Below are 22,304 nucleotides of genomic sequence, written 5' to 3'. Positions count from 1 at the left end.
ATCAGATTTAATCAAATACTTTAAAAATGATTATATATTGCAATCTTTAAATCGGTTTTTAATTCTTTACTTCCTACAGAAATTCAGATTTATTCAGTTGAACCCACACTTTAAAATTCTATGTTTCTGATTAAACTCTACCCTTCTAATGTTGCCTTCTAAGCAAATTGAAAGCTGCCTTATACTGAATGAGGAAGAGAACAAATACTTGGCTGAATGAGGTATTGCAAAGGACCACATGCACTTTGAAGAAAGACTTAAGTTGTTGTCATACGATTTACATGCTATTTAATTTTTCTTAAATATATGACAGAATACCTACACAAAGAGTGGTATTTCAGTTAATATAGTACATTCATTTTCCAGACTGACATTCAGCTTAAATATGCCGGTGTGTGATTTAATCCACAGGTACCTGATGAACACATTATTGTCAGATTGGTTGCAGGTGCTAAAGGCTATCTGAAGATCATTCCTAGTCATTTATATTTATCAGGGTAAAAGTGAAGTGATTTGAACTATAAAAATACCTTTGAAATAATTTATCAATGTATTAGGTAAACCCACTGTTAGACCAAATAAGGTGGCTAATTAACAGTGATATGATTTCTAGCCCGAGGGTCTAAATTGGACTCAAACTGTCTTTAAACTGAACTCAAAGAATGCAAAAGTGGCAAGTTCAGAAAATAAAAGGCAAGAACAGGACTTGAAGTCCATTTTAAACCCTCGGGCTAGAAATCGTCCTACTGTTAATTAGCCACATTAGTTGGTCTAACAGTTTTTCTTTATAATTCTGAAACTGGGTTTATCTAATACATTGATAAATTCATACAATTTGGAAGAGTCAGTTGAAGTCACAAGGACTTAATATTTGCACTCTTTCAGTGAATGCAGGCACATCTGTTATTCCATCTGTAAAATCGTATTATTGCTCTCCTATTAATGTCATATGTATAAAAGTATCATGAAGATGCCAAATGCTAAAAATGGAGATGGTCTAGTAACTAGAAATGCCCACCCCAGGGAGCGCACACACATCTCTCCCTGCATCCTAATAATGTGACGTATTTTGGAACACAGACATTAGAACTTCATGAACTTTTAGCTGTTGATTCTTTCCCAAGCATCTTAAAGTTATGATTTAGGCAATGTATGACTGAAATAATTCACTCATCATGTATAGGCACATTAACATAAATATGGCACAAAATATGCCTCTAACTGAAACCGAGAGGTATAAAAACATATTTCACTCTTTGTGAAGAACTTTGTGAGGAAACATAAGTCTGTCATTGTATAGACACTTTTTCTCATAATACTTGGACACTCACAAACAGTAGATTGCACGGCAGCTTGTAAACATTTTAAGTTGCATAAACTTCACCTTGATTTTCATGTGTAGTATAATACTGTCTACTAAAACTCCTTTTTGTTTCAACTAAGTACTCTCACATATATTGGTTTATAATAATGATTGTTATTATTTTTAAAGTGTTTTCCATTCAAAGAAAAGAAGTAAATTCCTATGTCAGAGTAACTAGTGTGGTTGAAGAATAGGTATTAGCCAGAGAGGTCTAGATGATAAAATCAATCTTCTAGCCTCAAAGAAGCTCCATGAACATAGAGGAAGGCCAGGTGTCACACAGCTTTCCTTCACTCGAATTCATTCTTGACTAGAGCCTGTATGCCTCTTCCAGGGACATTTAAACTCTTAAAGGATTTCTTATGATCTTCACTAAATACCTTAAGAAGAATGCCAACCAGTGCCCTTTTGTGTACTGGGACATATACTCATGTGATTAAAACAGGTAACATGAACTCTGACTTTAAAATGTATTGTAGATATAAATGCTCTAAGCTAGAAAAGGTTTTCCACATCCACAGTCAATGATGGGAGCCTTTCATTCCTCAGAAATAATCCCTTTTTAGGTCATCAAGAAAGGGTACAACTGCTGCAGCTCATGATGCAATATCTTCATGAGCCCAGAGCACATACAAATCCTAAGGGAACTACCATAGTGCAGCGCTCATTCTTGGCACCAGAACAAATGAAACACACTCTATCCTGCACACACCTGCCAGAGCAGGCCACTTTCCTCTTCTGTGAGATTTAAAAAGCTCCCCAAAATGTTATTACTCCCATCCCCAATACACAGAAAATAGGGAAAAGGCTGTTTCCAGTTCTTGGCCTTTAAACAACTCTAAATGTCAGTACTCACAGTGGCATATTACAAAGTAATAAACAGTGCTCAATTGAGGGCAAACCACATATTGAGCTAATGAAGAGCTCACTGTGGTTAGGATTCGATCAAACGTAATAGCAGAACATAAGCACATTTTATCTGAATTCTGGAATGAATATACATGCTGCAATAACATTAAAAAAGCATGGCAGCCTGTTCCAAACCAGCCAGAATAGTTTTGTGCAAATTAGTGGGTCTTTGTGTGTTTGAATTCCCACCACCTAAGGGCAAACTCGATATGCATACTAATGACCTACAATTATCAAATTAAAAATAAAAATGCTAAAGGATGCCAGAAAGAACATCAGGGAAAGACCAACTCTCCCTTAACTTTTTACAAATAAATTTAAACGGTAAATTAGAAACACAAATAAAAGTGAGTGGCTCTAGCATTCAAATGGAGTAAATGAATTGTGTAGGAGATGAACCCCGTAACTTTTTGTTGTTGTTGTTGTTTTAAATTTCTTGACCAGCTCTTAGAAGATGATGATGTTTATCTCCCTGTTCTCGGCTGCCTGGTAGAAGAATGGCACGCAGGGTTTGCTGGGCAAGCCTGGGTGCTCCTAGGTGTCCTGCATGACAGGAGACAGCTGCACGATCTGCTGTACAGTGGGGTTGTTATGGGGAGAACCCTCCCTGGCCACTCCTGGTGCAGGCTCCACGTTGTTGTCCAGGCTCACTTCATAAAAAACTTCGGAGAGAGGGAGGCGGGGGTCTGAGCACAGTGCGAGCCTCCCCTGCCCCTGCCTGCCCACCCCGCCTGAGAGCTCTACTCACCATCCTGCTCACCGGCAGCCCCAAGTTCCTGGGGGGCTGGGGCCCCTGGAGTGGGCTCATCAGCAGGGTTCTGGGCAGCGATGAGGAATTTGCCATGCCCCTCATGGTTGCCCACAAGGGGCAACACCAACTCTTGCAGCTCCAGCAGCTTCACCTGAAGGGAGGGGTGCTCAGCTCCCACCCTGGAGCCTGCACCAGTGCCCATGCCCACCCCCAACCCCGCAGAGATGTTGCACGCCCTACCTTCATCTCCTCCTCCTTCTGGGCCAGCCTGATGACATCCTCCATCTCCTGGTGCCGCGTGTTTGGCACTGCCCCCTGGCTTTCATATACGGTGAAGGACTCTCCTGTGAGAGGACACAGCTCAGACACTAGGGTCCCTCCGACGGCCCTGCAGCTCCCCATGCCCGTGCCCTGGCCTCCCGCTCACTCATGCCGTCTGTCACTCCAGAAGGCTGGACGAATCCAAGCTCTCGTCTCTCCACCTGCTCCGTCCCGTCCGCCTTCTCCTTCGGGAGGTCCATAAAGCTGCTCTGGAGCCAAAATAATGGGGTCACACCTCGGGAGTGACCTGTTCTGCCCCGCCCCCACTTTTCTTGGCCCATGCCAGGACTCACTCCCTTTCAGCTTCACCATGGCCTCCTTCAGGGCCCGGTAGCTCTCCCCACACACAAACTCATCTCCAGTCCTCCCTGGGGCTGGGGCCTCTGCCTCTGGCTCCTTCCAGGCCAAGGCCACCAGATGAGCCAGGTGCAGGCAGCACAGCCTTCACACCTTCCGCTGCCCACATAGCCGTGCCTGCTCCTCCTGGGAACTGGCTCCAGCGGAGTTGAAAAATGCCACTTGAAGGCAAGAGGTGAGTATTCTTGTAGGGGCATAGACAGAACAAATGAGGCAGGGAGGTGGAGAACAACCCCTTCCCTTGGGGCCTCAGAGAGTGCACCTGTTGGTCACAGGTGACAAAGTGTCTGACCACTGGCTCCCGGAAGGGGTGAGGGGCCAGAGAAATCAGAAGGTGGGAAAACCAAGAGCATAACGGGCTCTGGGAGGGACCACAGAGGAAGGTGGCAAAGTGGGGCAGGGAAAGTCAGGCTCACCGTGGCCTCCCGGCTCTCCAGGTCCTCTGGGATGTTTGGCGTGGGCCGAGGCGCCTCCTCCTCCTCACTGTCCAGATGTTGTCCTCCATCTCCTGTGGGGAGGTGGCCAGAGGGGTCCTCAGACAACCCAACAAGGAAGGTACTGTGGGCCTACCTCTGTCCCCACCCTGACTGTGTAACCCTGAGCCAGCCTCTCCCCAGAGGGGAGTGAGCTGCTGTTCTTTATTTTTCCTTTTAAGAACCAAGATCTTGCTATATTGCCCAGGCACAGTCCCACTACCGGTCGGTGCGGGAGTCCTGACCTGCTCCCTTTCTGATCTGGTCCAGTTCATTCATCCTTAGGCAACCTGGTGGCCCCCTGCTCCCAGGAGGTCACCATATTGATGCTGAACTTAGTGCGGACACCCGGTTGGCATAACGACCAGCTGTTCTAAAGGTCTCTTCCAACCCCTCAATCCTATGCTGCTAACAGTCCCCCCTTCCTCCTGGGGCTCTCTCCTCTTCCTCTGAGTGGTCTCCTGTACCTTCTCCAGGGAGAGCCACGAGGCTTAGCTGGGTCTCTAGCTGTTGGTTCCGCTGGCTGGCAGCTTCTAGGTGCTCCTAAGGGGACGGGAAACAGAGTGAGAAGGCACGGAGGTTGCCAGGTCATCCCCCTCGGGGCCCCGTCCTCAGCAACTCCCTCCCCTGGGTCTCCTGCAACTTTTGGCCGGCCATCTCAGCCACCGCTTTGCCCCAAGCTTCCTGCTGCTGCAGCTGGTCCACGAACTGGGTCTGCAGCAGTAACTGCCTGTGCAGCGCCTCCTTCTCAGAGGTCAGCTGCTGATAGGTGGCCATGTACTGCTGCAGGTGACCCAGGTACTAGTCTCGCTGCTGCTGCAGACTCTGAGACTCTTGGCTCTTCAGCTCCACCTGCAGGAAGACCCTGGGCATGAGGGCACATGGTGGCTGGCTTCCAGATTCTGGGCCCATTAATAGGGTAGCGAGGGCACCGTGGGGCTCTGTCACCTGCCCAGGACCCTGGTCCCTTGCTCCAGGCCTAAGAGGCTTCCTCCCTTGCCTAGAACCCCATACCTCCTTCCCCAGCCTCAAATCTCATGTCCTTCTTCCCACCATTTAAACTGTAGGCCACAGACTGGTGGAAAAGCAGAGGGAGCCAACCACCATCTGCTAAGTGTGCTACATGCCTAATGCTTTCCAGGTATTCTCTCATTCAATCCTCAGCACCTCTGCAAGGAAAATGCTAACTTCCTTTTGAAGTCACAGAAACAGAGACTTAGAGATGAACAGTAGTTGAATGGTGACCAGTGGAACCCAGGCCAGAATCCAGTTTGAATCTAAGGAGCCTTTTTTGTTTTGTTTTGAGACAGTGTCACTCTGTGGCCCAGGCTGGAGTGCAGTGGTGCAATCTCAGCTCACTGCAGCCTCCACCACGTGGGCTCAAGCGATTCTCGTGCCTCAGCCTCCTGAGTAGCTGGGATTACAGGCATGCGCCACCATGCCTGGCTAATTTTTTGTTGTTGTTGTTGTAATTTTAGTAGGGGTGAGGTTTCGCCACGTTGGCCAGGCTGGTCTCAAACTCCTGACCTCAAGTGATTCTCCTGCCTCAGCCTCCCAAAGTGCTGGGATTACAGGTGCGAGCCACCGTGCCTGGATAAGGAGCCTCTTGTACCACTGTCTCTTCCCCTGTGATTGGGGGCTCCATGTCTCTAGCTGGGATGATGATGTCCAGACCTGGGAGGAGCCCAGGGCTACCCACCTCTAAAAGTCAGAGGGCAGGAAGCAAGAAACAGTCATAGAGCTGCACTGGAGGGTGCTGGGGTCACCTGCCTCCCAGCTGGAGCTGCCTTTGGCCTGGCACCTCCCCTCCCCAGAGGCTGGTGCCCGCCTCCCAGCCCTTCTTGGATGGGGTGGAGGTTACCATCTCCTTCACCTCGTCTAGCTTCTCCTGCAGCTCCTTTACTTGCTGCTCCAACTGCAGTGCGCTCTTTTTCTCGTTGTTCTGGACAGAGAGAAGCAATCAGTGGCCATCCACTGCAGCTGGAGACACCAGACCTTGGTGTCTGCCTCCCATATCACCAGGAAGGGTGGAGGCAGGTTAGAAAAATCATCCCTTCTCCCCCACAGCCATCAGAGCAGAGCCCGATGAGCTGTAGCTCACAGGTGCCTTTAGAAGTAGCATTTCATGTGAGGGCTACACTGGCCCATTTTACAGGTGGGGAAACAAAGGCCTGGAGGGATAGGGATGAGGGCAGGCTCCCCAGGTGGGGCAACCCACCAGATCCTCGAAGCTGCACTGTGGCTCGGCCAGCTGCTTGTCGAGCTTGTGGTTCTGGGAGAGCGCGAGCCTCTCCTCCTGCTTTTGTAGCCTCTCCTCCTTCTTCCACAGCCTCTCCTCCTGGTCCCACAGCCTCTTTTCCTGCTTTTGCAGCCTCTCCTCCTCCTTTCGCAGCCTCTCCTCCTGTTTGCGTAGCCTCTGCTCCTGCTTTCGCAGCCTCTCACCCTGCTCCTGTAGCGTCTTCTGCTGCTCCCGAAGCCTCTCGTTTTGTTCACACAGTCTCTCCTGCTCCCGCACTCTCTGCGCCTCCTGCTCTCGGAGCATCTCCTCCTGCTCCTGGAGTCTCTGCTTTTGTTCCTTGCTAAGGAGACTCAAGGCCTGATTGTTTTCCACCTGGGACTGGAGCTTTCCCTCCAGACCTTCCACCTCCTGCCTCAGGTGTTTGGCCTCATCTTGTAGCTGTTCCACCACAGAGGTCACTGCTGGGGGTGCCAGGGATGGGGGCTCAGCTGAGAAATGAAGCAGACAATAAGGGCCTCTGGATTCCCCAACCCCTCTACCCACATCCCCCTCAAAAAAAAAAAAAAAACCTCCTCTTGATGCACAGCTCCTCTCAGGCTTCCCAAACTTGGCCTCACTGCTAATCATTCCTCGCACCCAATGGTAGCCAATTTCCAAGCCACTTTCACATAGAGAGCACTGTGGGTGGCTGACAACGGGCACTCCTCCCTCTTTGCTGATGGGGACCCTGAGGCTCATGGAGATGACAAAACTTGCCGTCTCCTGGCACAGACCTCTTTCCCTCTGCCTCAAAGCCCTTCCACCCACCCACCTCCCTGGGGCATTCTAAGCCACCCCCACAGACCTCTGATGCCAGTCCTGCTCCGAGGTCACACCAGCCCCATCTTACCCATCTGGTTTTTGAGTTCGGACAAGCTCCTCTCCAGCTCCTGTATCCGATGTATGTCACGCTTCTTCTCTTCCTTCAATGTTCGAGCCTGCCCAAAGCACAGGGGAAAGGGCCCTGGAGAGAGGGGCTGGTGGCTGGACAGGCTACCATCTCATTCTCTGTCCCCATCTCCACAAAGCCCAGACCCATGACCACCTCTGGCTGTACTATTCCCATTTTACAGATGCCCAGAAAGATCCAGTGACCTATCTAAAGTGGGGGCTGAAGGGTCAGACCTCACCTCCACCGACATTTTCCACATCCTCTCCTGCCACCGGGCCCTCTCTCCTTTTATGTGTTTAGCATATTCGTCTCGCTCTAGCTGGACTTGTTTTAGTGACTCTGTCACCTGCAAGAAATGGGCACAGAAGTTAGGAAGGGCTGTCACTGGTCCTCACCTGCTCCTGGCCACCTGGGGTCATCTTCCTTCCACATCCCTCCCTCTGCAAAGCCTCACCTGTGTCACGTGTGCGTTCAGCAGCGCCCGCTCCTTTATGGTCTGCTGTAACCGCCGCTGGAGGACCGCTTCTCTGCAGCTCGAGGACTGGATGGTGAAGAGTGAGAAGTTTTGATCTGGGGAGCTCGGGCAGTGCCCCTTAAAAGGGCTAGGGCTAGGCTCAATATACAACTCGGTCAGTAAAGGTCAAGGCATTTCCAAGCCCGTGGCCTGGTTATTAAAAGAACTCAGTAAAGTTGGAAGGGAGAGGGAAAGAGATAGAATTTACAGCTGGCTAACAGAGGCCCAGAGAGATCAGATAATATTGCTATTGTTATTACTGTTATTACTACCACTGTTTGAACCGTTATGGAGTGCTTCACCAGGTTCCATGCTAGCAATCCCATTTAATCCTCACAACCACCATATGAGACGGTTACTAGGATTACCTCTATTGTGTAGATGAAAAACATCGAGTGTTCAAGGTTAAGTGCTTGCCTAAGATCACTTAGACAGAGCTGGGATTTGAACACCCAGGTCTATCCTATTCTCTAAGCCCATTTTTCTTGCTGGGGGTGGGGACACAGATAGGAAGGGGGAAATTAATCTTTTGTTCACTTTTTGAAAGGATGATACATTCATACAGTCCAAAACTCAGAAGGTACAGAAGGGAGGTGTCTCCAGGCACCCTGTTACTCTCTCCTGAGTTTTTTATGAATGCTTGCAGACATGTTTTTGTATATTATCATAGTACACACACACACACACACACACACACACACACCCCTTTCCTCTCTCTACAGAAATGGTAACATACTAAAGGTGCTCTTCTGTACCTTCACAGAACAACTACCCAATACCCCACCTAGGACTTGGCCAAGGCCACAGCCAGGAAAGGGCAGGGCAGGCACTTGGCCTCTGAGCTCTGCATCCAGTGCTCACTCCCCACAGTGCCCCCCAACTCACCCACAGCAGCTGACTTAGCCCCAGGCTGCCTCTAACAACCATACACAAAAGTAGTGAGAAATGACCATGCTGCCTTCTGGGCAGGACACTCCATCCTGCAGAAGGGACCTTTAGGCTCACTCCTCTATCTGGGAAGCCAGGCTGCCAGGGGATGGGGCAGCTGGTTGGACTCACCCTGTCCTCTTCCTGCTGCTGTGTAGACACAGCACAGAGAGCCCGCTCCAATTCTTGAATATGCTGTAAGGAGTATTGCAGGCGGCCAGCCAGATCCTTGGACTCTTCTGTAATGAGAGAGGTTGAGATGGGGCCCAAAAGACTCCCCCTAAAGACCTGTCAAAGTGCCAGGTTGAAGGATGACGGGATGCCCAGATTCCCACCTTCGAAGTGTCGGGCAGCACGTTTAGTATGGTAAAGGGTGGTCTTCAAGTCTGCCTTTTCCAATGTGAGGATGTTGATTGTCTGGAATTGAACGTTTGGGAGAAAAGCCAAGGAAATGCTGAAAGAGAAGGAAAGAAACATTCTCCAGAGGACAGGAGAAAGCTCCCCACCCTCCACTCACCTCTAACTGCTCCATTTGTGCTTTGTGTATTTCATTGTTTGTTTTCTTTGCCTGTAGGAAGAGGAAGACAGAGCTCTTATCACAGGGAGGCAGAGATGGCACAGCAAGAGACATGCCCCCAGAATGCCACCAATGCCCCAGGACAGGCCCACCCATGGGACCAGGTTATCAGGGACCCTGTGGGGATGGGGTGGAATCTGATGGGTGAGCCTTCTTCCCCAGGCTGGGAGTGGGCAAGATGAGACTGGCGCCTCTGCATCTGAGTGTCCCCCAAACCCAGCAGTCATGTTGTGAGCAAAGAAATCACGTTACTTCTTCCAGCTGATGTTCCACTTGTTTCTTCTGCTGTTTCTGTGGGGAGAGTCAAATTCAGGTGACTGAGAGTGGCCCCCTCAACTCTATTCCCCAGACCTGGAAGCGGTAGGCAGGGTCCAGGAATGGATTTTAAAGGCAACATTCTCAGAACCAATGGCAACACAAACTGGTCAACCCTCCTCAAGCTCCCAAGGACAGAGGACTTGGGTCTTTGTTGGTTTTTGCCCACAGCCACAGAACTCAAAGCCTGAATCTGGATTCTCTTGAAAGGACAGTAACATAAACCTCTAGAGAGGGAGTCTCAGGAAGGCCCACCCTTCTGCCAGCTTGTGATTTAGAAAGGTGCCTTCATTCAACAAACATTTACTGAACACATACGGGCCAGCTACGGTTCTTCACAGCAGATATAGGATGGAAAAGGACAGACAGGAGCCCTTGGCCCTCAGGTTTCCATTCTAGGGGCCTTTAAATCTCAGACTCTCAGAGCTAACAGAGAACTTTGATGCTCTACCTCCTCCAGAAACACAAGCCCAAGGAGGACAGGTGGCTTGTCCAGACTCAAAGCAAATTAGGGACTGAGTCAGGGCAGAAATACAGGGCCCCTGACAACCAGTCAGGCTAGCGCTTCCCTGAGAGGTGACAACCTCAGGGCGTGTGTGGCAAGGACTGGAGCAGGGGTGTCTGGAGAAGAGAGAGTCGGCAAAGAGGGCAGTGACAGAAGAGCCATGCTGCGTGCTCCTTGCTCTGGGGTCCCTCCAGGTGAGGCCTGGGTGCTCCAGCTCCCCATTTGCCCTTGGCACCAGGGGCCCCCAGCCCCTTTCTTCAGGGCCCCAAGGGGAAACTAAAGCCCAGGATTGGCAGCATGGAATCAGGGGACCCCACTGGACTTACCAATGATTCTATGTTTTCATTGAGCTGATTGATTGTCACTGAGCTTGACTCCAGGGCTACTGCTAGTTCTTGGTACTGGCTCTGAGGCACATGCAGAGAGGAGGAGTTGGAAGAGGATTGTGGGGAGAGGTAGAGAGAACAATCATTAGGGCTGGGGTGTGTGTGGGCTGTCTCAGCTGGCAGAGGGTCACCCAGCCCCCACTGTGAGAGGAGGTTGGAGGGCTGGCCTGCAAAGTCACTGCACCTCAGCCCAGGGCCTCTTACTTCCAGATCCTTCAGGGTAACAGATGATGCAGGAGTAATAAAAATGAGAAATTAAAAAAAAACTTACATGGGAAATAGTTATGTATATGGAGAAAGTATAAAAACAGCAAGGAGCCGGGCACAGTGGCTCACACATGTAATCCCAGCAGTTCAGGAGGCTGAGACAAGTGGATCACTTGAGGTCAGGAGATCAAGATCAGCCTGGCCGACATGGTGAAACTGCATCTCTACTAAAAATACAAAGATTAGCCAGGCGTAGTGGCAGGTGCCTGTAATCCCAGCTACTCAGGAGGCTAAGGCAAGAGAATCACTTGAACCCGGGAGGCAGAGGTTGTAGTGAGCCGAGATCGCACCACTCCACTCCAGTCTGAGTGACAGAGTGAGACTCTGTCTCAAAAAAAAAAAAAAAAAAAAAAAAAAAGAGCCCAAATCCCACATGCCTGCTCTGTACGTTATTCCCAGATTACTTTTAAACTTTTAGGCGTCACCATTTCCAAGATAATAAAAGACGCGGGGAAGGAAAAAACCCAATCAATCAAGCAGGTGAAGAAGCAGACAGAAACAGGCTGAAGGTTAATGGCAGCAACATAAAACAAGGCAGAGGCCAAGCATCCCCCAAGCCAGAGAAGCCTCAGGGCCATGCACAGCTGTAGACAGCAAGCCAGAGAGGGGTCTTGGCACTGCCTCACCTTCCACTTGTCCAATGGGGGAGCACTACCCCATTGGAGTGGTTAAGGTTGGACACCCGCACCTTCAGAATGTCCTGAATCTACAGGAGGTGACAAGGGAAAAACAAGGGCAGGGGGTGAAAGACAGAAGTGGCTTAGAGAGAAGCAAGAAAGTCAGGGTAGGAGGAAGATGTGGGTTCAGGAAAAGGAAACGCTGAAGAAGAGCAGAGGAGATTAAAACCATGGCCTGTGCCATTCTTCCAAATGGCCACCTGCTGCCTTGCCAGGGGCAGGAAAAAATAGATGGAAAAGTCCCCCGAGTGACGCAGTCACAGAGTGGAGTCAGCTGACCAATGCAGATCTTAATACGCTCACTGGACCCCTCTCCTCAGGCCCAGGACATGGACGATGAATCTGGTAGAGCTCCAGACCTCCACCTCCATTAAAAAAAAACAGACTCCTGAGTAAGAGTTCACTTGAACTAAGGGGACTTCAGCTAAAAAACAAGTTTGAAAGACACTGATCTTATCCAGTATCATCTTACAGAGGAGGAAACTGAGGCCCAGCAGAAGAAGTGATTTTTCTGTGGTCACCCAGCAAGCTGGTGGCAAGTTAGACCTTCTCTTGCTCCTAGTGCCTTGGGCTCTCCTCACCACACCCTGGGCCCCCTTCAGTGACTCCTAGAGGGACAGCCTGATGGCAAGTGGCTGTACTCATTAGCCCAGCTTCCCCTTGCGAGTGGGGATCAGGAAAATCAAACAGCAATGACCATTTCCTGGGTATCCTGGGTGTTTACAGCAGGCCACGTACTAGGGGTTAACATGAAAACAACAACAATAAGGAATCTCATTTAAACTTCACAAATGGAAGTCAAACAATACTACCCCTATTTTACAGATGTGAAAAGAGAGGCCCAAAGAGCTCAAGCAACTTGCCATAAATCAGATCGCTAGCAGATGAAGAAGCAGGATTCAAACCCAGAATTCTTAACCAGTACCCAGCAATCTCAACAATTACCCTCTACTGCCCCTTGGGCCCCCTGTCCCCAGGAGCCTGGCCAGCCAAGACTCACATCCCCAGGTGAGTGGCCACCACCGGAAGTGGTTGTCTCAGGGCTACTGTCAGTTTTTTTCTTTTTTGTCTTTGCTCCTGCTGGAATACCAGGGCTCTTCCTTTGCTGATATTCTTTTAGCTGTGGGAAAGAAGAGCAGTAATACTCATGAGAACTACCAGCCCTTACAGCCACACCCTCCTTACAGTTTTTGCAAAATACTCTTATACACCATCTGATTTAATGCCACCAACAACTGTACAAGGTGTTGTCACAATCACTTAAGTGACTGAGAGGGATGGATATTATGGCTAAAAAAAAAAGTGTGGGGGGGCAATAATGGAACTTAAACTCAGTCTTCTGACTCCAAGCTCTGGGGTTTTGCCATGAATCAGCAGCTGCCGGGGACCAAAACCAGACGCAGAGGTAGAAAAGTAAACATTACATAGGCATGAACTACACGCTGTGTGGTTTAGAGTCATACATCCTCAAATGCCTGTTAGTGTGAAGAAGTGCACCAGTATCTCTCAAACTTTTATATCAATGTGTCCTCATGGCAGAAGGCAGCTTTTTTGTTAAATCTGGGAATTTATCAGAAAGAGGACAACCCAAGTCTCATTTCAGAGAGAAGTCTGGTATACTCTTAGAAACCTATGTGAGGGTCACCCCTAAGTACATTAATGTTTTTTCTCTCTCAAGAGAATCAAGGGAAACTGATGCTTCAGAAAGATCTCCCACATTTATCCTGTGGCACTCAATGTACCCTAAGTTGAGATGATATGAGGAAGATTCAAGCTGTCAAGTTCAGTTTCCCAAGACCTATTCCACAGAAGATGAGCAAATCTCACTTCAGAGACCACTGACTGAAGGGCAGTCTGGTCCCAGAACCGTGGAGAATTAGAATATGAGGTGGAGAACTCGGAAAAAAATGTTAAAGTCTCTCTGGAGAGTAGAAGCCTGGGAGAAAACCAAACCAAACCCATTCTCCCATTACCACCCAGAGATACTGTCAACGTTTTGAGCTCACAGGGGAAGTGTAGGCTTTTCACACTGTCGATGTCTATGTGAAGGGAGTAAGGCAGCCTGAAACCTCTTGCTCCTAGGTCCCATGGTCCCCATTTCCCTTCTAGCTGGAAATTTGTGCTGTGACCAGAGGAACCAGAAATGGGGTGAGAATGCTTAGGGGACTGGGTTATAAGATCAAAGGCCGGTCTTGCAGCAGTAATGACAGTTCCTAGGAGGACTGTGACATCACTACATTCCACTCCTCCTGGGGGTGGGGGAAACCTCATCAGTGCAATGGCTGAGTTGCCGATCCACGATGGGGGAGGGGGGACGTGGGGCTGGGACCCAGGTCCTTGGAGATGCCAGTCCAGAGAGCCCAGGGAGGTCGGGCTTGGGTCAGCAGGAGGGGAGAGCAGAGTCTGCTCAGGGAACCCCAGGAGTCACCAGCCCAAAGTCACCCCGGGATGACTGGCGATGCTGGGGGGTTGGGGCTGGGGGACCCAGGTCCTTGGAGAGGTGAGCCCAAAGAACCCAGGGAGGTTGGGCTTGGGGTGGCAGGACGTGAGGGCTGAATATGGAGCAGGTATCCCCAGTAGTCATCCGCCCAAAGTCACCGCAGGGTGATTGGCGAGGGCAGAGGCTGGGCTGCTTGCTGAAGGGGCGGGGCTGACTGACAAGACGTTGGTGGGGGGAGTCCAGAGGCGCCGGGGTAGGGGGGCCCAGCCCGGTGTGCCTCAGGAGTGGTATGGACTCTGGGAGTGGTCTTGTCATCAGAGGGGATCTCTGGCTAGGTTGGGGGGCCATGACCTTTTTCTTGGCTTTTTACCTTTTTCTTGGCTGCTGCCAATTTATTCTGTCGAGATTCTTCTAACATCATGGGGTGGGGAGGGAGGTAGGGTTGGGGCCACATCAGCGAACACCTCCAGTCACCTACAAGGCTGCTGTGTGACTGAGCCAGAGGAGGCGTAACCAGGGCCACACTAGAATGCAGAATAGGGGTGTGGCCTTACTGCTCCAATCCCATTGGTCAATGAGAAAGATGAAAGGGAAAGGAGGCGTGGCCAGGCAGCAGTGTGCCCAGAGGAACCTGTGACATCACAAGGAAAGCTGCCCATGCGACTGCTGTCCCTGCCCACTTGGGGAGAGGGGCGGGGCCTGCCTACTCCGGGAGAGGGGAGGGCTGGTTTTTGCTTTAAAATGTTAAAAATAAACTTTAAAAAAATATGTATTTATACTTTATATATATGTGTGTCAGTGTGTGTGTGTCTACATGTTCCTCCAGAGCTGTCTTCATTATCCAGCTTCTATGCATGGTCTATGATTTTGGCCTACATTTTTCATCTTCAGAGGGAGTATAAGAATTACCAGTATTACCCCAGTTAAGACACAAATCCTATAAAAATGGAAAATCCATAGCATGTTTGATGATTAATGAATGAAGTGGACTATATTATCCAACATCCCAATAAGGTAAAATAATCACAATGATTTCTCGGCTTTGGAAAAAACATTTCTCTTATTCTCCTACATTATTAAGATTTTTTAAAAAACAAGAAACATGTCTAATATCTTTAAAAACACAAAGCTTTTGGGCCGGGTGTGGTGGCTCACACCTGTAATCCCAGCACTTTGGGAGGCCTAGGTGGGTGGATCACCTTAGGTCAGGAGTTCAAGACCAGCCTGGCCAACATGGTGAAACCCTGTCTCTACTCGAAATACAAAAACTAGCCAGGTGTGGTGGTGGGTACCCGTAATCCCAGCTACTGGGGAGGCTGAGGCAGGAGAATCACTTGAACCCGGGAGGCGGAAGTTGCAGTGAGCCAAGGTCACGCCACTGCACTCCAGCCTGGGTGACAGACTGAGACTCCATCTCAAAAAAATAAAATAAAATAGTCAAAAATAAATAAAAACACAAAGCTTTCCATTTAATAAGCACTCAAAGCTCTTTACTGGTTTAAAGCAAATACAAGGCCTATTTTTCTAGAATCACCTGGCCTCTCTAAGCCTTGCAAATGAAACTGAATTTCTCACTTGATACTTGGCTATGACTTGCAATCATGAAAACCAAGAATTGTGTTATGTCACTGTGTATTGATTGTTACCTGAATTCCACACTAGGCTGGGATCAAGGGTTGAATCTTTCATGATTTGCTCCATAACCTGTGAGCTTCTTTTCCTACACCAAACTAAGCTTTGTTCTAGAGTTCTACAATTTACAGTTAGTAGACAAGAGTGGTTCTCAAAAATGTAGTCTCTGGACTAGCAGCAGCAGCAGAACCTGAGAACCTTTTATAAGTGCAAATTCTCAGGCCCCACCCTGGACATGGTGAATCAGAAACTCTGGAGTAGGGCTCAGCAATCTGTGCTGCAGTCATCCCTCCAGGTGTTCAAGAACCTCTGGCATACAGCAGGCAGAAAAATGTGTTTCCTTCTGTAGGTCCAAAGCCAGGGATACCATATGTTCTGTCTTGATATGAAACAATGGCATGCAATTAAAAGACATAAATCTCCTTCCTGCTCCTACCCTCCATCCAATGTGTTTTATTTTTATGAGTTAAATAAGAAAACAAACGGCAATCAGAGATTCAGCCTAAAAAGTATGTTTACAAGTGTCAGTTCTCATCCAGCCTGATCTCACACAATACCATTTACACCCTCTTACCTCTCAAGTTTTTTAAAAAGTGTCTTCACAATGTAAGTCTCGGGCACACTAGCAGTTCTATAATAAAACACCAAGTAGATCAGAATGTCCAAACTTACTAGAGAAGAAAAGTGGAATCACTGGCTGTATTTTCAAGTTGCATTCAACAGGAAATGTAAGTTTTTCATTCTTTTCACCTTCACACTTCAATAGCGTTAAATCAGAATACTCCATTCTTCCAAAGCCTCTAGCCAGGCAAAGTTTTACTGTATTACTTCTTGCTTTCAATAGATATAAAGCAGAGTCCTGGTAGGCACATTTTGTATGCCTGCAAAGATGCAGAAGTAAACAGTTCCATCTATTCAATATTAAAACAAAAGTCCTGCAAACCTCGGATGGTGAGTGTAATACTTCAGCACTAGCACCAAAGCCTCAAATATAAACAGATACCAATATCACCACTAGCAAACAAAATGAGCCCTCGGCCAGGAGCAGTAGTTCACACCTGTAATCCCAACACTTTGGCAAGCCAAGGTGGGAGGATCACTTTAAGTCAGGAGTTCAAGACCAGCCTGGGCAGCATAGTGAATTCGCATCTCTACAAAAAATCTTAAAAATTAGCTGGGGGTGGTGGCACACACCTGTAGTCCTAGCTACTTGGAAGGCTGATGTATGAAAACTGCTTCAGCTCAGGAGTACGACGCTGTGGTAGCTATGATCATGCCACTGCACTCCAGCCTGGGTGACAGAGCAAGATCTAGATAATTACAGTCTGTCCTGCTCCTGTTTATGTTAAAATGCTTTCAATCAGCAGGATAAAAATTAAGTGAAATGTGACTTGGGAGCTTGGCCAGAAAATAGGCAATGGAGAAACAGGCACTTCCCACAAGAATAAAAATGGCCAATAAGCACATAAAAATGATTCAAGGCCAGGGCCGTGGCTCACGCCTGTAATCCCAGCACTTTAGGAGGCCGAGGTGGGTGGATCACCTGAGGTCAAGAGTTTGAGACGGGCCTGACCAACATGGTGAAATCCCATCTCTACTAAAAAATACAAAAATTAGCCAGGCATGGCGGTGGGCACCTGTAATCCCAGCTACTCGGGAAGCTGAGGCAGGAGAATCGCTTGAACCCAGGAGGCAGAGGTTGCAGTTATCCGAGATTGCACTGTTGCACACCAGCCTGGGCCATAGAGCAAGACTCCATCTCAAAAAAAAAAAAAAGTTTCAAAAGCACTAGAAACCAAAGAAATACAATGAAAACAATGAGATTTTCTCCTTAAATATCAGCAAAGAGGACAAATGGAAACGGGATACTGGAGCTCTGCCCCTGTTGGGAGTATAAACTGAACCAATTTTTCTGCAGGATAATTTGAAAATTTCTATTAAAAATCTTAAAACTATTTTATGTTATTTTTCTCCAGAAATTCTACTTCTATGACTTCAGCCCCAAAATGCTTGCTTGCGTCCATTAAAATATATATATAAGAAAATTTACTTCTGGGGTGGCAATGATTAACTTAATACACATCGAGCTTTTAAAAAGATGATGCCAAGGATATATTTACTGCCATAGAAATATGCCCAAAACATAGTGACAAAAGACTATATATTACGATTCTACTTTTTAAAATGTTCATATGCATAAAAAAATATAAAAAGCAACAAACCAGAATGCTTTCAGTGGCAAAATTAAAGACTTTTCTTCATATTTTGTCTTCCAAATTATTACAAAAAGAATGCAATTTTCTTTATAATCAGGGAGAAGTATTATTTTCATTTATTTACATATAAATTTCTTTTCTTTTCCTTATTTCTTCTAATGTATGTATCACATGTACCCTAAGAGCTTGAATCCCTACTTCTTGAGGTAAATCAGACCATTTCTGTCTCTATCAACTTGCCTTTTTTGGACATTTCAAATCAACAGAATTATACAATATGTGGTCACATGTCTGGCTTTTTACTTAGCTAAGGTTTTTGAGGTTGGTCCATGACATATAACAGGTTTTGGTAGTTTGTTCCTTTCATTACTGAGTAGAAGTCCATTGATGGATATATACCACATTTTGTCAGCAGAGAACATTTAAACTTTGCTTTCAACTTCCCGTGGTCTAAATGAAACCGCTGGAACACAGGACTTACAGTGAAAGCTGCTGTGCATGTCAAAAGAACTACTTATCAGAACCAGCTTTGTCATCAGGAGCCTGAACTGCTGCAGAAATTTTTATCATTTTGCAACTTCCTTTTTACAAGCAGCTTTTGTGCTACTACACATCAGGACTTTTGAAGCATCTGATACATCCATCTAATAAGTATGAGCATGTGTCTGAGTGGACAAGTACAACCATCTATGCTACACTGCATATTTTTTCCCTCCCCCAGACTGGACCAGGGAATCTCTCAACTTTCTAGAGTATCCTGTCTCCATTGACAAAGCTGAACAGTATTAAAGATCCTGCTGCCTTTGTTAGGCAGATTTGGAAGGGAGGCCCAACAGCAAGGGTGGAGAGGAAAAAGAGAGGGCAGCTTGTGGAACAGGAAGCCCCCTGGGGTCTGCACATGGCTCCCAGCTGTTGAGGATGTTGTGGATGGGGAAGTGCTGATGGTGTCCCGAGGCAAGCCTAGCACCTGCACTGGGCCCAGAAGGTCTTGACTTTGGCCCCTTACCCACGTTCCAGAAGTGTTTACAAGCTGGTTTTGCTTTTCTTCTTTTCCCAAATAATCATTACTTGGTAGTTAGTTATTAACCTTTCTTTGGGAGAGGGACAGAGCTTTAAAACTGAAGAACATAATTTTCATTAAAATATCAAAAATGGAAAAAAGTTACTTTGTAAACAATTTGCTATACAAACCAAATGGCAGCTGTTGAGAATCTCAATAAAGTGTTAAATGCATTTGCTGCTGTTAGAAGAAATACAGTAAAAATATTTAAAATAAAGAAAAAAATTTGCTGGCAGTGGTACCATTTGCCCAAGGTTGGGTTGCTGTGTCGTCATACTGTGGTGGGGGGTATATGTGGTGTATATGTGTGAAACTCTTCATCTCAGGATGGATCATAATGTGAGCTGCAGTTTTCCTTCCAAATAGGGTTACAAAGTAGTAAAACATGGGCTTGGAAGTGACAGACCTGAGTGAATCAGCCAAGCTTAAAGAAAAACCCAATAAAATTAACTTTTAATAATCCTGACGTTGGTTTTTGAAACAATAGATACAATGATTTACTCTAAGCATCAGGTTATGATTTTGAATCAGTAATACACACTGTCTCGACCTTTTTCTTTTTTTATGGAAACAGAGGTTTCACCCAGAAAACCCCAAAACAGTGACATTTTTTTTTTTTTAAGACAGGGTGTCACTCTGTCGCCCAGGCTGCAGTGGAGTGGTGGATCTCAGCTCACTGCAGCCTCGACCTCCCACCTCAGCCTCCCGAGTAGCTGGGACCACAGGCACCACCGTGCCTGGCTAATTATTGTATTTTGTGTACAGACGGGGTTTTGCCATGTTGCCCAGGGTGGTCTCAGACTTCTAGGCTCCAGCCGTTCACCCACTTCAGCCTCCCAAGGTGCTGTGTGTACAGGTGCGAGCCACTGTGCCCAACCTGCATTGACTTTTTAAAACATAAGTTCAAGCATCTCTTCCTAACTCCTTTAATTGGAGGTATCTCTTCTCTCATTCTCCTCATCTTTGGTGTTCCCCCAGAGTTCACTGCTGTCTGGATGTACAACATATATTTCAAAGTCAAGGCTGGGCTGGGTGCAGTGGCTCACGCCTATAATTGCAGCACTTTGGGAGTCCAAGGCAGGCAGATCGCTTGAGTTCAGGCAAGGTAAGGCAGGCTCCCAAGGCAGAGACTGAGGCTGACCCCTGCAGCCCCCTACTGCAGGGAGGAACACCAGGATAGGCAAGGGTCTTAACCTAGAAAGCCCCAGCAGTTCCTGTGACCATTGAGGCTTGGCGGTGGTGGAACCCAGGAATGGTCTTTGAACCCACCACCTGGAAGGGGAGCCAAGGATAGTCCTGGCCCAAAGGCTCCCCTACCTGCAGGCAGTGTGGAGGCCCAGTGAGTGGACCCCAGGAGCCCAGACCATGAGCTTACCTGGCCAAAGACAGCAGCCAGCACCAAGACACGAAAGAGGGCGGGTAGAAAGATCATCACATAGGGGTTGACTGCGGCCGGCACCAGGTTCCTCTGTACTTCTGGAACACACAGGCCCCTCCTTCCTATCCCTGAAGTGCCCCTGCCCCTACCCCAGCACCCTGAAGACCAGCCCAATATATGCATTTGTCCTGGGTCAGCCCCACTGTCCAAGCAACTGCAATTTCTCACTAGAGAGCCAGGGCAGGGCAGGGTATAGGAGGGGTCCCTGGAAGATGCCCCCCAGAATGCCCTGATGCCTAAAACGTTCCCCGTTGGGCCTTCTCAGGGAGGGAGGGTTAAGACAGCCTTGTTCTCTCCAGCTACCTCCATCACCACTGGAGCCCTTACAGGCGTCATGGGAGAGAATTGGCTCACTGGAGCCAGGAACAGCATGGACACAGCCCTGGGGCTGAGGCTAAGTGGGCTCTGGGAGACCGTCACTCTCTCTTCAAGCTTTGGTCTCCTGGCCCTCTACAAGCCAGGCTGTTTCAGGCTTTGCGTTAGGCCTTGCTCAGAGACAGAGTTGAAACACAGCTGGTGGACACAGTGGGCTTTAGGGAGGGGGCACGTACCTGGGGGTGGGGGCTGGGTAACAGGGAACGGAGGCCCTGGGGCTAGCATGGCCTGTCTGGAGGTGGCACAATGGGACCTGCACCACATGAGGACAGAGGGTCCACCTGGAGGAGTGGATCAGCCAGATGGCCACCAAGCTGGATGGCCACCGCCAGAGCCTGCAGGACAGCAGAGGGGGCTAGGAAGGGACAGAGGACAGCTGAGGGGCAGGGAATGTGGGTTCCTCCATACAGACACTTGAGTCTTCCCTAAGTGGGTCTTCCCCATGGGGGTGAGGGGGCATTCAAGACACACCTCCAGCCCACCTCAAACCATCTCAGGAGGCCACCACCAACTCACACAGGCCAGCTGCATTGTCACAGTGACCCCAGAACAGCACAGCCCTGTCCTTCAGATAAATAAATGGAGAGAGTGATGCATATCACAGCCAGGAGCTGGGACTCAGACCCAGGTCCAGCTGCAGTGCTGCCTCAATGGCTCCACCTGCACCTCCTCCGGGACTCAGTTCCTGCTAACAAGTGAACACTTGAGTATGGGTGAAATAGGTGCTATTATCCCTTCTGGCTGCTGGGGAAGCAAGGCACAGATGACTTGCCCAAGGCCAACGTATCATGGCTGGTTCAACCCCATCTGTCTCGGCCAGCACATCCCCAAGGCAGAGGCTTTACTGTGATCCAAACCTGGAAGGTGGCACTCCTTCCAATGTCCCACCCAGGGCACAGAGCATGCAGCCCCATGTTTGGGGAGGTGACAGGGTGGGGAGGTGACAGTGTGGGAAACAATCTGGTTAGGCCAAGGCCTCATGGAGCCCAGGGTTCCCTAGGACCAGGAGAGCTCTGGAGCCCACACTGACACCCACTGGAAACCTGGAATCTGCACCTGCAGGAGATCGGGAGAGGGGTTCGGCCTCCGATGCACCTGCAGCAAGGTGAGACAGGCACAGGTGGGCGCCCTGCTTCCAACCAGTGTCAGGTGGGCAGGAAGCAGATCTCCTCCCTGACCTTCCTCTCCTGCCTCCCCCAAGCAGAGGAGAAGGGGCAGCCGCCCATCAGGCCATTGCCCAGATTGAAGCCACTGAAGCTAGGTCCCAACAGGTGAGTGTGACCCCTGACTATCCCAGGCCCGGCCCAAGGCAGTCATGTCTCTGGTGAGGACCTGGTAGACAGATGTGATGTCCCCAAGTGGCTCTATAAACCTCTTGAGGATAATCAAGGAAATGGGCAAAAACATCATGCTCAGCCAAGAACCTGATAGGCACAAGGGGGACCAGGGCAGGTAAAAGTCAGTTTGGGTTCAGGCCTGGCCCCTGGAAGGATGGTGGATGAAGAGCCAGCCACGGTGAAAGGGAATGGATGGCCACGGGCTGGGTGGTCAGGACTGTCAGCTCCTGCAGCCCCTGCAGAACATCTGCCCAGGCCTGGCTCTGCGCTCAGCCTTCTGCCTGGAGCCACAGG

The 22,304-nt window shown here is 48.7% G+C and overlaps 1 protein-coding gene and 1 pseudogene across 2 annotated transcripts, besides 3 other annotated features; both read right to left on the bottom strand.

Annotated features, from left to right (window-relative positions):
* Window positions 1–1,751: 1,751 nt before the first annotated feature.
* On the bottom strand, window positions 1,752–21,155 carry GOLGA6D (golgin A6 family member D). Of its 2 annotated transcripts, XM_047432965.1 has the most exons (19): window positions 20,236–21,155; window positions 14,323–14,476; window positions 12,513–12,632; window positions 10,509–10,589; window positions 9,615–9,653; window positions 9,303–9,353; window positions 9,121–9,202; window positions 8,918–9,024; window positions 7,799–7,885; window positions 7,583–7,690; window positions 7,303–7,390; window positions 6,393–6,901; window positions 6,048–6,116; window positions 4,642–4,717; window positions 4,118–4,209; window positions 3,451–3,553; window positions 3,264–3,367; window positions 3,021–3,174; window positions 1,752–2,934 (listed from the first exon to the last, which is right to left on the bottom strand). In XM_047432965.1, exons 2-19 carry the CDS (start codon window positions 14,404–14,406, stop codon window positions 2,807–2,809), a joined length of 2,082 nt encoding a protein of 693 aa, XP_047288921.1. In that variant the 5' UTR covers window positions 14,407–14,476; window positions 20,236–21,155; the 3' UTR covers window positions 1,752–2,806. The 2 variants fall into 2 exon arrangements, with proteins under 2 accessions (XP_047288921.1, NP_001138696.1); NM_001145224.3 differs by lacking the exon at window positions 20,236–21,155 and having other exon boundaries at window positions 14,323–14,447.
* Window positions 2,619–3,296: an enhancer, noted in NCBI's record as "H3K4me1 hESC enhancer chr15:75586327-75587004 (GRCh37/hg19 assembly coordinates)". NCBI's record gives its function as "activates a minimal SCP1, AML or CMV promoter by ChIP-STARR-seq in naive H9 embryonic stem cells {active_cell/tissue: H9 hESC(naive)}" and the evidence as "EXISTENCE:reporter gene assay evidence [ECO:0000049][PMID:30033119]".
* On the bottom strand, window positions 4,354–4,576 carry RN7SL327P (RNA, 7SL, cytoplasmic 327, pseudogene; annotated as a pseudogene).
* Window positions 19,937–20,468: an enhancer, noted in NCBI's record as "H3K27ac-H3K4me1 hESC enhancer chr15:75569155-75569686 (GRCh37/hg19 assembly coordinates)". NCBI's record gives its function as "activates a minimal SCP1, AML or CMV promoter by ChIP-STARR-seq in primed H9 embryonic stem cells {active_cell/tissue: H9 hESC(primed)}" and the evidence as "EXISTENCE:reporter gene assay evidence [ECO:0000049][PMID:30033119]".
* Window positions 21,001–21,532: an enhancer, noted in NCBI's record as "H3K27ac-H3K4me1 hESC enhancer chr15:75568091-75568622 (GRCh37/hg19 assembly coordinates)". NCBI's record gives its function as "activates a minimal SCP1, AML or CMV promoter by ChIP-STARR-seq in primed H9 embryonic stem cells {active_cell/tissue: H9 hESC(primed)}" and the evidence as "EXISTENCE:reporter gene assay evidence [ECO:0000049][PMID:30033119]".

This window comes from Homo sapiens, chromosome 15 (assembly GCF_000001405.40).
Source record: "Homo sapiens chromosome 15, GRCh38.p14 Primary Assembly".
Classification (NCBI taxonomy): domain Eukaryota; kingdom Metazoa; phylum Chordata; class Mammalia; order Primates; family Hominidae; genus Homo; species Homo sapiens.
This window is presented reverse-complemented; position numbering and strand designations above follow the sequence as displayed.